This window comes from Homo sapiens, chromosome 5 (genome assembly GCF_000001405.40).
Source record: "Homo sapiens chromosome 5, GRCh38.p14 Primary Assembly".
NCBI classification, from domain to species: domain Eukaryota; kingdom Metazoa; phylum Chordata; class Mammalia; order Primates; family Hominidae; genus Homo; species Homo sapiens.
In genome coordinates this window covers 20,647,156-20,665,949 of record NC_000005.10, presented here as the reverse complement: position 1 = coordinate 20,665,949, position 18,794 = coordinate 20,647,156, and the positions used below count along the sequence as shown (strand labels likewise).

Sequence of the window (18,794 nt, the reverse complement as noted above, 5' to 3'; positions counted from 1 at the left end):
GGGGGAGAGGGTGAGGAGAAAAGGAAATACTGGTTAAAGGGTACAGAGTTTAAATTAAACAAGAGGAATTAGAAGATCTATTGATATCATAGAGACTATAGTTAATAATAATGTAATTTATATTTCAAATTTGCTTAAAAAAATTTAAATGTTATCACCATAAAAAAATAAGTATATGAAGTAATAGATATGTTAGCTTCATTTATTCACTCCACAATGCATATCTATATCAAAACATCTCCTTTTACTCCATACATGTATACAATTATTACCTGTCAATTAAAGTTTTAAAAATTAAAAAATAATAAACTATTTTATCAGTTAACCAGAAAATACCCAAGATATTTTACATTAATTACCTGTACAAACTAAGTTTCATAAACCTTAATAAGAAAACATCACAGATCCAAGAATTAACATTTTCTGGAAGAAACTTTACATGCTATAGGAAGCCATGGAATCTTCCACTCTAAAGAATATAATTGGCCTAGAGATTATCAAATTGGGCTTAATTATCTTTAAAACATCTATTTTTATCAAGTACATTATTTGTATTTTTACACTGAATTTTTGAGCAATATACTTTTGAAGAAAATATGTTATTTCATGTTTTTAAAATGTTCAAAATTAACTTCAGATATTAAACATCATAATAGAAATTGATTCTGGGAAAATGGCAACATGGACAGGATTTTGTAAGATACTCGCTAGAAGAGATCAGTGTGCTTAAGTAAATGAGTATATTGGCCCTGTATTAAGATGCCCAATCTCCTATATCTCAAAAATACCAAAACGAAACAACAAACAACAGCAGAAGCACTGAAAGGGTGTTCTTATTCCTCCTGGGCTCTGAAGACTGGGATATAGAAAGGTTTCCTCCAGGCCCAGTGGAGCAGTGATAACCTGCTTTCTTGATGGTGCTTGTTTTTTGAGAGAGAGACTATTTGCCCTAAATTGCTTATAGGATTGTGATGACACAGAGAATGGAATTTAAAATTTTTCTGCATAGTGGAGGACTCAGGGTAGTTCAAAACCAACAAACAAAAAATACAATCACAACAACAACAAAATGATGTTTATTTCTATTGGACCTCACCTCTCCATTCCAGCCAATGGAGATTCTGGTTTAAGCGTATCCAGTAGAGCCTAGATACTGAGATTTTGAAATGTCTTACCAGTTGATTCCAACATGGAGCAAATTAAAAATCACTGGGAAAAGGGAGCATATGCCAAAAGCTATAACTAAGGCCATTTGAACTGCAATAGTGGAAAAAAATAATAAAAACCTCCAAGGCTTGCACATCATTCTAAGAGGGGATGATTAATAGGTCAGAACAAATAACACACATGTTCAAAGAAAAATAGTTCCCAAAAAAGGAAATTACAAATTGAATGGAAAAAAAAATGAATAAAAGGTTAATGCTTTAATTGCTCAAAAACTTTTTCTAAACATTTTCCAATTAAATTATTCAGTAGACCCTAATGTCTATCACATTGTGAAGGTGATATGAGTGATCATCATAAGCAAATCATTTTTGTCATCTCTGTAGTTCACTTTTCTCTTAAACTACATCAAATAGGTTTTGGTTACTTGAAGGCAAATCATTTCTTTGATCACTTCATGAGATGGTCAGGGAGTGAGAATATTTGTTGCCGAAGCACCTGCTGTGTGAACATTTCTGCACACCAAGTGATGACAGGAGTTGAGGTGGAGAGGAAAGTGAACAGAAATGTAGGAGTTTTGAGTGTTTGAAATAACTAAATTGAAGTTTGAGTAAATAAATTTAAATAATTTTTTGTTTAATTCAGGAGTTAAAAGTAAAAAATAATGAAAATAGTGAAAATGAGGTTATTATTTTACCAGGGTTGTACGATTCACCTTAAGCTAGTTTTGAAGTTGCCCATTCCTTTCTGTAGTAAATCTGTATTCTAAGCTGGAAATTAAAGAGATAGGGGAAGAAATGGAACTGAGTGGTTATTTATCCTTGTGTCTTTGGACAAGTAATTTGGATTATGAATGGCAGCGACAAAGTTGATTTGTAATTTGTATTCCGAACTGCTTTCAGGTGGTAAGAGCCTTTTGGTGTGTGTCCATGAACCATTTAGATAAAAGTAATTTTTAGCATTAGATATACTGAATTAATGCACAAATATGCTGACAATTTTATGTATCATAGAATGCATTTTCTACTTACGTTCATTATGGATAAAGAAAAGGTAGTAGATTTTAAATTCCTTTAACACGTATTTGACTTCAGCACTCAGAAACACTAACTATTTTTATTAAGTGTACATACTGGCTGCTTATTAAACGGTACGTGAAAAAACATTTTGTTTTTCACAAACTACAATTGGCCCTTTCCTTAGGGTATTATAATGCAACTAATTCAATTGTTTTCCTATACTGTTAACTCTATTTTCCAACACTAATATAATTGTAATAAGAAATAAAACAAGTTGTTCAAAAGATTTCTTATTCTACAAAAATGGCCCATATGTTCTTCAGAAGAAAATCATGTAAACTTCTAGTGACTACTTTTCAGAATCATACTGTTTTCTACCTTCTCCTAAAAAGTATTCTAAAATTAACTCCCCTTGAAATAATAGGATAAAGATTATGCCAATGATTTCAAGATTTTGAAAAATAAACATTTTAGACTCAGGCTATAATCAACTTAATCATATATGTAAGATTTTTTTCAGTGATTTTTTTTTACTTAGGAAACAGTAATGAAAAGTGTCTTCCTTATACACTGGTACAAAATAGTTGTGTTTTTATTCTTTTTAAAATTTTTATTTTAAGTTCAAAGGTACATCTGCAGGTTTGTTACATAGATAAGCTTGTGTCATGGGAGTTCATAATAAAGACATGGAATCAAAATAAATATTTCTAAATGAGTCATGCTGTTTACTTTTGGAGGTGCCTATAATGAGAAATTAATAATATGGCCAGGCATCGTGGCTCACACCTGTAATACCAATGCTTTGGGAGGCCGAGGCCGGTGGATCACCTGAGGTCAGGAGTTCAAGACCAGCCTGGCCAAGATGGTGAAACCCCATTTCTACTAAAAATAGAAAAAATAGCCAGGTGTGGTGGCAGGTGCCTGTGATCCCAGCTACTCGGGAGGCTGAGACAGGAGAATTGCTTGAACATGGGAGGCGGAGGTTGCAGGGAGCCGAGATCGTGCCATTGCACTCCAGCCTGGGCAACAAGAGTGAAACTCCATATCAAAAAACAAAACAAACAAAACAAACAAATAAAAAAAAACCAAGAAATCACTAATATGATTAAATGGTATTACGTGCCCCCACGCCTTCTAATGCATGGCCAGTGAGTTCTGGACTTTTCCTCTCTTTTCCTGGCAAGAAAGATGTAGTGCATCTTTGTAGGTAAGTAAAAGTGTGTGTTTTGTTTTTCTTTAAAAAAGTTCTTAGAAACTGGATAGATATTTTTTGGAAACTGGAGAAACCTAGGTCAAAAGCGCATAGGAGAATGATGAAGAATAAATAAAAACCTGAAGAGACAATGGTAACTGGAAGCCTAACATAAAGTTTAATAACAGATCCTGCAGGTACATTGCCCAGAGTATGAAACCTGACTCTACCACTTACTAGTCTGTGATGTTAGCACAGTTAGCTACAATTTCAGTACTCAATATACTGATCTGTAAAACGACCATAATATTGGCCCACTGCATAATGGCCACTATGAATATTAAGTGGATAATATTTCTAAAGTATTTAGAATGGTGCACAGTCCATAGTGTTTATTCTGTAAGCATATGCTCAATATATAATGAAAGGCAATCATTCTTTCAAGTTTTCTTATTCTTTCTCACATACACTTCTCCGTTTTTTCTATTTTTCTACATTTGTAAATAAAATGGCTTTCTCTGATTTTGTAATGTGTTATTGAGCACATACGTTCATGCCGACATTAAAGACAGATCAATGTTTTTGAGAATACTGACTAGTTTAAAATTTAAGGTAATGATAATTTATTGGCTAAATGCATATCAAGAATCTAGTGGTAATCCCATTAGCTATAAGACAGTTTACATGCTGTACTATGCATTTATTCCTTTTTTCTCAAATTATGCTGAAGCAAACTAGGGACTGTCATAAATTAGAAAGAAACAAAGTCGCATGCAATAAGCAAATTGCTTGTAACAAATAAACGGTTGACTATGTGAATTTAATTGTATACTTTGAAATAATGTTCTACATCTCATGAATTTTATATAATTGCATTGATAAGTAACTTGCTAGTTCTTAAAATAGCATACTTCCAGAAAGCACATAACTAATAAATTGTTACTACATACAAAAATGGGATTATTCATTTTTAAATCATAATAAATAAATGTCTTAAAGCCCAGTAACTGGCAAATTACAGTAAAAACATTCTTTACTAACACATCACTGTAATAAAGTGGTTTGCCAAATCATTCACAACAAATTGGGTCTCCAAAGATACAATTAATTTAACTGACATTCACAAATCAACAGCAAGAATGACAAAATACAAAATAATAAATAACTGAAGACAATTCTGATGATGCCTTGATATTGACAATGAAAACGTTTCTCTAAAAATTGTAGAAACTTAACCCCTAAGCGGGTGTTCAGGCATAATAGGAACTCGGCAATGTTACCAAGTTAAATGTCTCAGCCCATATTTATTTTATATATGGCCAAGCTTCATTGTTTGTGGATTCCATATTTGCCACTTTGCTACTCACTAAAGTTTATTTCTAACCCCAAGATCAATATCACACTACTAATGACTAAAAGTCATCTGAGGACATGTGCAGAGTGGCAAAAAATGTGAGTGCTCTAAGTACACTTTCCCAACTGAGTTCACACAAGGTAACAGCGCGCTTTCTCGTCTCAGCTCTCATAGGATAAACAAGTGTCCTTTTCACGGTATATTTAATGTCATGTTTTTCCATTTTTGTGCTTTTTGTTAGTGATTTTGCTGTTTAAAATTACTCCCAAGCATAAGGGTGAAGTGCTGCCCAGGATAGGAAGCACAAGACTGTGATGTGTCTTATGGAGAAAATGCATGTGTTAGATTAGCTCCATTCAGTCACTAGTTAATGGTGCTGTTGGCCATGAATTCAACGTTGATGAATCGATACCAGTGATACACCCAAAAAAAGCAACAGGAAACTCACTGACCTGCACATGACGCTGCTCCAGAATGTCTTAAAGTAACATCTGCAGTGAGTGATGAGTCTATTGGAAAGATAGAAAGAGGTTAAATTTGTGGGTTCATAAGATAATGACCAATAAGTAAGCTCAGTGGACAGCATTGTTGTAAGGCTGAAAGCCAAAGAAGTTGTAGGTCATGTGACCCAGGGTCAGGGAAATGTTAGAAAAAAAGGCTGGTGATTTACCATTATACAGGAACACTGCATATAATTGATTAGTTGTGAAAAATGGACATGAAATAAGGTCTATTTTAAAAGAAACACACATAAAACAAAGTTATTTGTTGATCAGTAAATGAAAACGTCACCAGCAGCTCACAGGAAAATTAACCCTGTATTTCTCCCAGAAGCAGTGGCACAATATTTTCTAATTATATATACATACACACACGCACACACACACACACACACAGAATATATATGTGTATATATACATATGACTGTATACATATGCATATACATACATATATAAAATCTCTGTTAGGCTACTAGCTATCATTAAACTTTTAGAATGATATATAATTCATATATATGTACAATTTATATGTACATATTCCTAGTGAAATAGAGAGGAACTATTCTAACTTATACTCTTATTGTTCAATATCTGGAATGAATATATTTTCCTGTTTTTTTATGGCCTTCAGCTACTTCCTCTTTCAACCAATCTGCTAATCACAAAATATCTGCTCATTTATTTTTAAAAACTCCATTTGATATGGAAAAATATTATACTATGTTAGATTTTTACTTAAAAACAAAACAGTTTAAAACGATCAACTCATGACCGGGTGCGGTGGCTCACGCCTGTAATCCCAGCTCTTTGGGAGGCCGTGGCAGGCGGATCACGAGGTCAGGAGATGGAGACCATCTGGCTAACACAGTGAAACCCCATCTCTACTAAAAATACAAACAAATTAGCCAGCCATGGTGTCACATGCCTGTAATCCCAGCCACTCAGGAGGCTGAGGCAGGAGAATTGCCTGAACCTGGGATGCCAAGGTTGCAGTAAGCCGAGATTTCACCACTGCATTCCAGCCTGGGTAACAGAGCAAGACTCCATCTCAAAAAATAGATAAATAAATAATAAATAATAATCAAAAATAATAAATTATCAACTCATAGGATATGTTTTGGCTACTTAAAATTGTGTTTAATATTTTCTCTCTGTTCTATTGTATCTTATTTCTTACTACACTTAAATATGCATTCTCTATTAAAGTATTGTGGCTTCTTGTGTTTTGATAAACTTTATTCCTTTTCTTATCTTCAATTTGCTGATGGTCAAAGCATGGGTAAAACTCAACAACAAGCATCAGGGTAGAGAAACAAAAATGCCAGGAGGTAAAATTTTTCCAGGTTCTGTGCTGGTTTTTGTAGCTTGAAGTCGAGAAGTCTAATGCACAGTGTCAAAATGAACATTGTAAACTCCACTTTGGTTTTCCTGAGATTCTGTTATTGATGTGGGTAAAACATGTGAGTAGAAATTATGAATTCTTTATGGAGTTATGTCAGTAGTGATGTTTCTGAGAATTCACTCCAAACCCAATAGCCTGTTGCTGGGAATATAAGAAATAGCAATCAGTAACCTAAGGGAAGGGAGAGACACAAACTTGCTGGAATTTCAATACTCTTGTCACATAGTCTGAAATTCAGAGACATGATTGATTTACTGGAGTGTTTGGATCTATAGATGCTTCTCAACATATAGTGAGGTTTGACTGGTAAACCCACTGTAAATTGAAAATATCGTAAGTAAAAACTTCATTATATACACCTAACCTATGGAACATAATAACTCAGCCTAACATAACTCAGACATGCTCAGAACACTTACATTATCCTACAGTTAGGCAAAATCATTGAATATAAAGTATAATTTATAATAAAAAGTGTTTAATATAATTTACTGAAAGCTATACTTAAAGTGAAAAACAGAATGATTGCCTGGGTACACACATAGAATATATATGTGTATATATACATATGATTGTATATGTATGTATATACATATATATATATATTCTTTCTGTTAGGCTATTAGCTATCATTAAACTTTTAGAATGATATATAATTCCTATATATGTACATTTATATCTACATATTCCTACATTCAGTAGAAGTACGGTTTCTACTGAATGCATATTGCTTTCACACCATAGTAAAGTCAAAAATTTTATGTCAAACCATGGCAAATTGGGGACTGTCTATAATCTGGAAGAACAGCCCAGGAATATAAAGGAGTTCAAGCCTGAACTTAAAGGGAAATAATGTAATTCAGGGTCAAGGTGTCAGTGAAGGCTGAGTACAGGACCAGGATAACACAGATCTGAGCAATAAGAAGGCTAGTGTTTTTATATAATATTCTCTGGCCAAAATTTTGTCAGGGAAGAAGTAATCTTGGGGCAATAGGTGGAAGAAAATAGCAACTACAGCTATTGAGTATAAGAGAGACACGTTGACCTTTTTGCCTATAATACTTTTTCTACATACCTCCCATATACTTCAGCACCCACTCACAAATAACGAAATAATAGAGTTGATATATAGTCATATTATGTGTTTATCCTATGGTTGATCCAATGAAAATTGAGGACAGATAATTTATATAAACTAATTGTTCATTTATTTCTTTCCAGTTTATGTTAGTTGCTTTCCATTTTATGCTTCATTTATTTGTGTTAATTTCCATTTATAAATATCAGCAAAGAGTAAGAAATCAATTGTACTTAAATAATAAAAGGAATACATATGTTTTGTCTCAATCTGGCCTTAGAGTCAGTAGATCAAACATATTAATCAAAGATATTAAAGCTTTTACATTTTTCAAAAACATTTTATTTTGAATTCTGACACACTTTGGAAAATAATATTTATGTTTTATACTTATAAAATTTGCAAAACTGCAAGCTCTTTATATCCATACTTTATTTTTAACTCCTTTAAGCCCACTCATAATTAAAACCAGACCTTTTCCTATACCCGCACAAAAGAAAACTATAAATTTCAGAACTGTGTAATGTACTAGAGAGGATAACACAGTATTTGAGTGTAATGGTGATCATCCCTCTCCCTTTCAGAATTTTGTGACAATAAACAGAGAGTTTTGCATTACTTTAAATGTGAAAGATTACCTGTCTTCTCATATTTTATTCATTAATTCATTCAGCAAATATTTATTAAGTTATACTATGTGCTAAGCATTGTCCTAGGTTTGGAAGATCTATCACTGAACAAAACAGACAAGCACCTCTGCCCTCAGGAAGCTTTAATTATATAAATGCCACCAGAGAGATGAAAGATCAAAACTACATTTTTATTTGTAAATCCAGGACAATAAAAATGTCTGGTTTACAATATGTGCTAGAGATCCTGAATAAATCTTTTCTACACAGAATTATACTTATCCTCCTACATATTAGGTGTTATTGGCAGCTCCATAATTTATATATGAATGAATATGGACTTTTTTTCTGCATCACTTTCATTGTGTTACATATTTAGAAAAGTTTCTAACAAATGTTGTCCATAGATTATGTCAAATTCATAAATAAATAATGACTAAATATTGCCATATCTGAAACAAAATACATGAAAATGTACAAATATGTATTTTTTATACATGTGCATATGTAATAAGTGCATTATGGAAAATATTTAACACTTTTAAAATAAGAATTATTTCTAAGAACTAATTATAGAATATTATTCCATGCAACATTCATTACAAATAAAAAAATTCATGACCTTCAATACATTTCTAGTTGGTCACAGAACTTCTCCAACAGGACAGCTTTTAAAATCTGCTCATTTTTACTCATTTCATTTATTCAAGAAATACAATTTAAATTTTATTCTGTTTAACAAAAAAAAATTCTAAAAGCTTATTTTCTGTGTTAATGTTTAAAAGCCTTTTTCTGCATTGGAAACCATACTTGATAATTAATATGTTAAGAACACTATTCTTCACCCTCCAGGGGTATAAACCTTTTTTCTTGAATAATTATTCACATATAACTCACTAAAGTGGGTGGCATGGAAAGAAAAGCAGGAAAAAACAAGTGAGGATACAGGGAGGCAAAATGATTTTTAAGTATGACAAAAAAAAAGAAATGGGTCTATTTGGGCTTTATCTGGCACTTAGCAGGTTTTTAATAAATGTATCTTTGAGGTGTAATCCATCAAACTGCAAGTAGTATATCTATGAGGGGTTTCACAAACAGGATTTTAGAATAGGATCACACCAGAAACACTGTGCTCCCAGTGTGTGTGAGCAACTGGTTATATTACTCAAATATGATAAATTTAGATGAGTCATTATGGCTTAATTTCTTAAAACAAGATAGGCTTTGTGCAATTATTTAAGGTTTTGAGTATAGTACTTAATAAATCTCTATTAGGAAAAGTAAAGAAAATTGTAGAAAGGTTAAAATCATTTAATCCACTGGACCATGTGATTGAATGGGTTCAATGTTATCTAAGATTTGCCCCAGAGTAAGGCTTATTCATGAAATTATCACTACATTAACATTTCACATATAGTTTCTTTCCCATCTCTTCAATTATTAATGGTAAAAAAAACTTTTGATAAATGTAGACAATTCATATCAAAGATGACTCCTGTTATATGAATAACTAAAGATAAATTGCTTGCAGACTATTTGAGAGCCAAATTGTCCATAAAACTTTATTATTTCCAAACCATAATGAATTTACTTTACATTAAAATAAAACATTTATTTACAATGTTGAATATAAGACAATTGTTTTTATTAGCTTATATCATGTCTTGTTATTGTTTTTACCAAATACTCATAGGCTATTTAATTATTATATATATGTATTATCTTTGAAAGTTGAAGTCAGTGATCTTAAGGAAAATTTCCTTTAGATCTGCTCATTATAGTGATGCTAGTATTTTACAGGCAGTATATACAGAATAATACTTATTAATTAAATGGCCTCTCTCTCTTCTAAAGGAAGCTGTGCAACAGAAAACTGGATTCCTTTCATCTGTATATGGAATAAATCTCTTCTTTGGTCAAAAAAACATTGTTCACACACAGTTCAAGTGACTTAAGGGAAATTAAACATAAATAAGATAGCCTAGGGAATAGCACATGCCAAATTAATGAATTTATTGTGATTTTATTCTGTTACAGCAACTTTGTTGTGTGATTTGAGTAAATTATCTAATCGAATCCTCAAAATATTTAGGTAGTTATTTTGATGATGCCCAGTACTGAGAAGAAGCAAATTCAAGCAATGCAGCAAGGATCGTTCCGTAAGTGGTGAAGCTGTGTTTCAAGACACACGATCCAATGTTTCAGAAACTGGAATCTCATACACTAAGCTCTGTTGTCTGTCATTAACTAGTGCTCCAATCTTAGGAATGAGTCAGTTCTATTTGATGTAAGTATTTGTGATATTTCATTAGGTTGTCAGGTTGATCAGATGTGGGAATTTATTTTTTAATATTATTTCTCTAGTGTTTTAATAATAAAAGACAATCCAATGAACAAAACATTTGTAATTCCAAATAAAGTTCCTGATATATTTAATTTCAACCTAGTTTTTCTTTGAACAATTTATATATCTTAAAAGATATTTGTGATACGAAGGAAAATGCTGACCTAAAGTGTAATAGAAACTAAATTAATTTTAATCTGAGTAGTGAGAGAGAAGTTGAGAATATCTGAAAATCTGGGCTTCTTGCTTTATGAATAGAGTTGTCTCCTTTAGGCTCTAAACTCAGGCTCCATTGAGAGTAGCATTTATTGACCATGTGACGTGCATCATGAACTGCTAACATTGTTTTTCTCATGCCCTTTAAATTCTCTCAACAATCCTATATTGTATGTCTTAATATATCCACTTTATAGATAAGGATATAAACATTCACAGATGCTGAAGTAATCAGAATTCTTTATCTAGAAACAGATTCAAGCAGCTTTAAATTCTAAGCTCTTTTGTTATACACAATAACTCCTTTACAGAACACATTATTAAAAATTAAATTTTTAGCTAATCTATTATTTATTTCAGTAATGATATATTAATATTCTCATTTTTCAGATAATTACTGATTATTATTTTAATAGATTTCAATCACAGAAAATGTGTTGGATTGAATGATTTTGCCTTATAGAAACAGTTCTTCTTTAGGTGATGATTTGGCAATCAATACAAAGTAATATTTAGCTGTTATAACATTGTTTGATAGTGTGTAGAAAAGGTCATTTTTATCATGGGATATACATAACTTAGATATTGTGATGTATGACAAATCAAATACTTTAATTCAAATAATTAATATTTCATATTTTAATTGATTAGTGAACTTTATGCATTTCTTTTTTTAAACTTATTTTACATTCGGAGGTACATGTGTAGGTTTGTTATATAGGTAAATTCATGTCACAGGGATTTGGTGTACAGATTATTTTGTCACCCTGGTACTAAACTTAGTACCCAATATTTATTTTCTTTTTTTGTATTTTTTTATTTTATTTTGTTTTATTTTATTTTATTTTTTAATTTATTTTTTTGAGACAGGGTGTCACTCTGTCATCCAGGCTGGAGAGCAGTGGCACAATCTTGGCTCACTGCAACCTCCACTTCCTGGGTTCGATTGATCCTCCCACCTCAGCCTCCTGAGTAGCTGAGACTGCAGGCATAAACCACCACACCCAGCTAATTACTGTATTTTTTGTAGAGATAGGGTTTCGCCATGTTGTCTAGTCTGGTCTTCAACTTCTGAGCTTGAGCGATCTGCCCACCTTGGTCTCCCAAATTGCTGGGATTTAGGGCGTGAGTCACTGATGCCTGGCCCCAGTAGCTATTTTTTCTTATCCTCTCTCCTCCCACTGTCCACCCTCAAGTAAACTCCTGTGTCTGTTGTTCCCCTCTTTATGTCCACGTGTTTTCATCACTTAGCTCCAATTTATAAGTGAGAATATGCAGTGTTTGGTTTTCTGTTCCTGCATTAGCTTGCTTAGAATAATAGCTTCCAGCTCCATCCGTGTTCCTGCCAAGAACCTGATCTCATTATTTTTTTATGGCTGCACAGTATTCCATGTTGTATATGTACCACATTTTCTTTATCCATCGATGGGAATTTAGGTGGTTTTCATGTCTTTCTATAATGAACAGTGCTACAATGAACATATGCATGCATGAGAATTCATGGTAGAATGATTTATATTCCTTTGGGTATACATCCAGTATTTGATTTATAGTAAAATGATTATATTCCTTTGGGTATATACCCTGGATAGCTTGGTTGAATGGTAATTCTGTTTTTAGCTCTTTGAGGAATCACCATACTTCTTTCCCCAATGACTGAACTAATTTACACTACCATCAACAGTGTATAATCATTCCCTTTTCTACACAACCTCGCCAGCATCTGTTTGTTTTTTTTTTTTTTACTTTTTTGGTAGCCATTTTAGATGGTGTGAGATGATATCTCAGTATGGTTTTGATTTGCATTTCTCTAATAATTAGTGATACTGAACTTTTTTCATATGCTTGTTGGCAGCATGTATACCTCTTTTGAAAAGTGCCTGTCTATGCCCTCTGGCTACTTTTTAATGAAGTTGTTTGCCTTCTTCTTGTAAATTTGTTTAAATTCCTTATAGATGCTGGATATTATACCTTTGTCAGATGCATGGTTTGCAAAAATGTTTCCTTTTTGTGTAAGGAAGGCGTCCAGTTTCAATCTTCTGCATATGCAAGTTATCTCAGCACCACTTATTGAATAGGGAGTTCTTTCACCATTGCTCATTTTTGTGTGCTTTCTCAAAGATCAGATGGTTGTAGGTGTGTGGCATTATGTCCAGGCTCTCCATTCTGTTCCACTGATCTATGTGTCTGTTTTTGTACCAGTACCATGCTGTTTTGGTAATTGTATCCCTGCAGTATAGCTTGAAGTTGGGTAGCATGATACCTCCAGCTTTGTTCTTCTTGCTTAGGATTGCCTTGGCTATTCAAGCTCTTTTTTGGGTCCATGTGAATGTTAAAATACTTTTTTTTCTACTTCTGTAAAGAATGTCACCGATATTTTGATAGAAACAGCATTGAATCTGTAAATTGCTTTGGTCACTATGGCCATTTTAACACTATGTGTTCTTGGTACTTATGAGCACAAAATTTTTATTCATTTGTTTGTATCATTTTTCATTTCTTTGAGCAATGTTTTCTAATTATCATTGTAGAGATCCCTGGTTCCTTTAGCATTTTCTTCTTTTTGTGGCAATTGTGAATGGGATTTCATTCCTGATTTGGCTCTTGACTTGGCTGTTGCTGGTGTATAGGAATACTACTGATTGTACATCAATTTTGTATCCTGAAACTTTGCTGAAGTTGTTTATCAAATCTAGGAGCTTTTGGGCCAAGATTATGGGTTTTTCAAGCTATAGAATCATGTTGTCTGCAAAAAGAGATAATTTGACTTCCTCTCTTCCTATTTGGATGCTCTTTATTTCTTTCTCTTTCTCGATTGCCCTGGTCAGGACTTCCAATACTATGTTGAGTAGGAGTGGTGAGAGAGGGCATCCTTGTATTTGTGTGGGTTTTCAAGAGGACTGCTTCTAGCTTTTGCCCATTCAGTACGATATTGGCTGTGGGTCTGTCATACATTCCCCCTATTATTTTGAGGTATGCTCATTCAATATCTAGTTTATGGAGAATTTTTAACATGAAAGGATGTTTAATTTTATCAAAAGCATTTTCTGCATTTATTGAGATAATCACGTGGTTTTTGCCTTTAATTTTGTTTGTGTGATGAATCATATTTATTGATTTACGTGTGTTGAACCAACAACATTGCATCTCTAGGATAAAGCTTACTTGATTACAGTGGATTAGCTTTTTGATATGCTGCTGGATTCAGTTTACTAGCATCTTGTTGAAGACTTTTGCATCTATGTTCATCAAGGATATTGGCCTGAAGTTGTTGTTGTTGTGTCTCTGTCAGGTTTTGATAAAAAGATGATGCTGGCCTCATAGAATAAGTTGGGAAGCAGAACTTCATACTCAATTTTTTGGAATAGTCTCAGTAGGCATTATACCAGCTTTTCTTTGTACCTCTGGTAGAATTTAACTCTGAATCCGTCTAGTCCTATACTTTTTGGGTGGATAGGCTATTTATTGATTAATTTTTGGAGCTTGTTATTGGTGTGTTCAGGGATTCAATTTCTCCATGATTCAGTTGGAAGGATGTAGGTATCCAGGAATTAATCAATTTCTACTAGATATTCTAGTTTGTGTGCATAGAAATGTTCATGGTATTTGCTGATGGTTATTTGTATTTCTGTGAGGTACGTGATATGATCCACTTTGTTGATTCTAATTGTGTTTATTTGGATCTTCTCTCTTTTTTTCATTAGTCTAGCTAGGGATCTTACTAATTTTTTCAAAAACTGAATTCCTAGATTTGTTGATCTTTTGAATGTTTTTCCATGTCTCAGTCTTCTTCAGTTCAACTCTGATTTTGGTTAATTCTTGTCTTCTGCTAGTGTTGGGTCTGGTTTGCTCTTCTTTTTCTACTTCTTTTAGTTTTGATGTTAGGTTGTTAATTTGAGGTCCTTCTAAATTCTTGATGTGGTCATTTAGTGCTATAAATTGTCCTCTTTACACTCCCTTAGCTGTGTCCCAGATATTCTGGTGTATTATCTTTGTCTGCACTAATTTCGAAGAATTTCTTGTCACTGCCTTAATTTTATTATTTACCTAAAAGTTATTCAGAAGCAGATTGTTCAATTTCTATGTAATTGTATTAGTTGAGTGATTTTCTTAGTCTTGAATTTTATTTTTATTGTACGGTGTTCGAAGGGCATGGGTGGTATGATTTTGTTGTTTTTGCATTTGCTGAGGACTATTTTATGTCTAAGTGTGTGGTTGATTTTAGAGTATGTGCCATGTAACGATGAGAAGACTGTAAATATTGTTAGTTTTGGGTGAAGAGTTCCGAAGATGTCTATTAGGTCCATTTGGTCTAGTGTTAAGTCCAGATCCTGAATATCTTTGTTAATTTTCAGCCTCAATAATCTCTCTAATATACTCAGTGGGGTGTTGTAGTCTTCAAATATTATTGTGTGGGAGTCTAAGTCTCTTTGAAGATCTCTAAGAACTGGTTTTATGAATACGGGTGCTTCTGTGTTGGATGCATATATATTTAGGATAATTGTGTCTCATTGAATTGAGACCTTTACCATTGTTTAATGTCTTTCTTTTTCTTTTTTGGTCTTTGTTGGTTTAAAGTCTGTTTGTCTGAAATTAGGATTGCAATCACTGACTTTTTCTTTAAGAATGCTGAATATAGACCCCCAATCTCTTCTGGCAGGTCCATTGTTAGACTGATATGATTCCCTTCGTAGGTGACCTGCCCTTTCTCCCTAGCTGCCTTTAACATTTTTTCTTTCATTTTGATCTTGGGAAATCTGATGACTATGTGTCTTGGGGATGATCTTCTTTGTAGTATCTTGCCAGGGTTCTCTGTATTTCCTGAATTTTAATGTTTAGCTTTCTGTTGAGGTTGGGGAAGTTTTCATGGACAACATCCAAAAACACATTTTCCAATTTGTTTATTTTTTTCCCATCCCTTTCCAGAACACCAATGATTCATAGATTTGACCTCTTTACATAATCCCATATTTCTTGGAGCTTTTGTTTGTTTATTTTTATTCTTCTTTCTTTATTTTGTTCTGTCTTATGTCAGAGAGCTTGTCTTTAAGCTTTGAGATTCTTTCCTCAGCTTGGTCTATTCTGCTCTTAATACTTCTGATTCCATTATAAAATTCTTGTAGTGTGTTTTACAACTGTATTAGGTCAGTTAGGTTCTTTTACTATTTACATTGGCTATTTTCTCTGTCAGTTCCTATATCATTTTATTGTTATTCTTAGTTTACTTGGATTGGGTTTTGCCATTCTCCTGAATCTCAATGATTTTTGTTTTTATCCACATTTTCAATTCTATTTCTGTCACTTCAGCCATCTCAGCTCTGTTAAGAACCCTTGCTGGAGAACTAATGCAGTCATTTGGAGGTTATGAAGATACTCTGGCCATTTGAGTTGCTGGAGTTCTTGATTTTGTTCTTTCTCATCTCTGTGTGTGAGTGTTCCTTTAGCTGCAGTATCTTTTCTGGGTGTTTTCACAGAGCCAAAGCTTTGCACAGGGTCTTTATTCGTAGTTGACTTTTTTGTCTTTTGTATCTCAGGGGTATGTTAGCAAAGTATTCTTGGTATTGAAGTTTTAGGATATGATCCAGTAGGTGACACTTAGGTGTAATGATTAGTAATAGGCTCTTGTTCAGTCATGTGGCTCCCCTATATTTCTCCACAATTGCAGCTATGCTCCCTCTCAATGCTCTGAAGGTGTGGGCTCCCCTCCTACTTGAGTACTGGCTGTAGACAACAGCTTGGCACTTCCAGGCTGCTCATCACAGGTCTGGGGTGATTTCAATGTTTATGTTCCCTTCTCAACTTAGAGGCAGCAGAGGAAAAGACCTTAGCAGTGGTTGTGGCCAAGGGTCTTGCACTTGTCTGGGCTCTATCCCAGATAGTTTCAGAGCATCAATCACTCAGTGCAATCAGCCTGGGATGGGATTCTCTGTTGTCTGTCCAAGCCAGGGAGGCCCTGCCTATTGATGAGCAAGGGGGAGCAGGGCTGCAGCCCATGGGAGACAGACTGGCCTCCTCTCTTTGTGTTGACTGCAGCTTGCTGGGGCTAAGATACAGCATTTAGGATCTTTGCTCTTTCAAGAGAATAGTAGGGGCAGTACCACTGCAGAGGCAGTGGCAGAGGGGTTTTCAGTGGCCCCTCGAGTGACTCCACCTCCAACATGGAGTTGCTGTTACTGGCGGTGTTGAGTCGGGGGACTGGGGCAGTTGCACTGCTGGTGTGAACTAGAGCCTCTGCTTGTTGGGTGGCAGGGGTTCCAGGGCTCACAGGGAAGAGAGACTGAGCTCCTTTTCATATGGTATCTGTGGCATGCTGTAAGCTTGAGTGCAGCCTTCAGGCTTTTTGTTTCTTCCCCAGGCTGAGGGCAGCAGGGGAAGGACCACTGCTATGGCAGTGGCAGAGGGATAGTCAGTTGGCTCTAGGAGCCTTACCATAGAAAATCTCAGAGCCACTTCTGCTGGGCATGTTCAGCCACTGGTAGAGGTGGCTGTTCTGTGGTTTTGCACCAGGGGTCCTGTCTTAAGAGTGAGGGTGCAGGTTCCCAGGGTAGAGGGGCTGGACTCCTCTCCATATGGTGCCTGCTTTGTGCTGGCAGAGCCAGCTTAGAGACTAGGCCCTTTGTTCTTTCCTCAGCTCAAGGGCTGTTAGGGCTGTACTGCCAGAGGGTTTGTGGCTTGATTTTGGAATTTTCTCCTCAGAAATTCTGAGCTGACACTCACTGAAGTAATCAGACAGAGACAGGGTATTTGTGCTCCAGTCCCAGGTCAGGTGACCCTGTTCAGTGAGGTGAAGTGAGGACCAGGACCTGTGTGGAGGACAGTCCAGGTCAGGTGACCCTGTTCAGTGAGGTGAAGTGAGGACCAGGACCTGTGTGGAGGACAGTCCATTAACTTTTCTGTGAGGCGGCTGCCCTGTGCTGAGGGCCCAGAACAGCCCCTTGTCCCCCCAGACTCTCCCAAGCTTGGAGATGGCAAAGGCAAGGGCTGCTAGACAGCAAGGATGGCAGCTTGTCCCTCCCACTTGGAGTTCTGTCCTAGATAAGTGCAGAGCTGCTACTGGCTTGATAGCCTCAGCAGGGGGTGGTTTGAGACCCAGGCGAGTGGTCCTGCCCAGTGAGGAGAAATAAGATAGGTGACCCACAGTTGTTTTTTTATGTTGTTGTTGTTGTTTTTTTGCAGTCTGACTGCATTTTCAAAGGGCAGCAGTGCTGTGCTGGGGGTCTGCTCCAGTCCCTAGTCACCTCGTACTCCCTAAATGCTGAAGGCAAACAACAGCTAAGGCTGCAAAACAGCAAAGATGATGACCTGCCCCTCCCTCTGGGAGCTCCAACCCACGGGGGGATGGGGCTGCTGAAAACACCAGCAAAGGGTGACTGGAGACCCTGGTCCTGCCCAGTGAGGAGAAATTTCATCAGGGACTCGCATAAAGAAGCAGGCTGACTCCTTTTTCGTAGGGCAGCTGCGCTGAAGACTACAACAGCCAAGGCTGTGAAACAGCAAAGATAGCAGCCCATCTTTCCCTCTGGGAGCTCTGTCTCAGGGAGCTCAGGGCTGCTACTGGAGTCTGGCTGAAGTCCCAGGACAGTGGGTCTTATCCTGTGAGCTGCCCTGGAAGCCAGACCTGCAGACCATCACTGCTCAGCCCCCTGGATTCAGCCTCTTTCCTGTGGGCATGTATAGGACTTTAACCACCCCCTCTGCCAGAGCGGCAGCTGCTACTGCTAGGATGTGTGGTGACTCCAAATGTACCATAGAGGTGTCTCTGCTAAGACTCTAGGTAGCTGTGCATGTCAGACTGAAGGTCCTGGTGGAGTAAGTCAAGTGAGGGGATCTCCTGACCCCCGGGTTGCAAAGATCAGTGGAAGAAGCATAAGTCCCCGCGGTCTCTCATTCACTCTC

The 18,794-nt window shown here is 35.6% G+C and overlaps 1 long non-coding RNA gene across 1 annotated transcript in view; it reads right to left on the bottom strand.

Moving 5' to 3' along the window:
* LINC02241 (long intergenic non-protein coding RNA 2241) overlaps window positions 1-18,794 on the bottom strand; it is a 325,854-nt gene that overhangs the window by 271,744 nt on the left and 35,316 nt on the right. The window contains exon 2 of the long non-coding RNA NR_149120.1: window positions 5,182-5,238. This is a non-coding gene — a long non-coding RNA (long intergenic non-protein coding RNA 2241). The remainder of the gene's footprint in view (window positions 1-5,181; window positions 5,239-18,794) is intronic.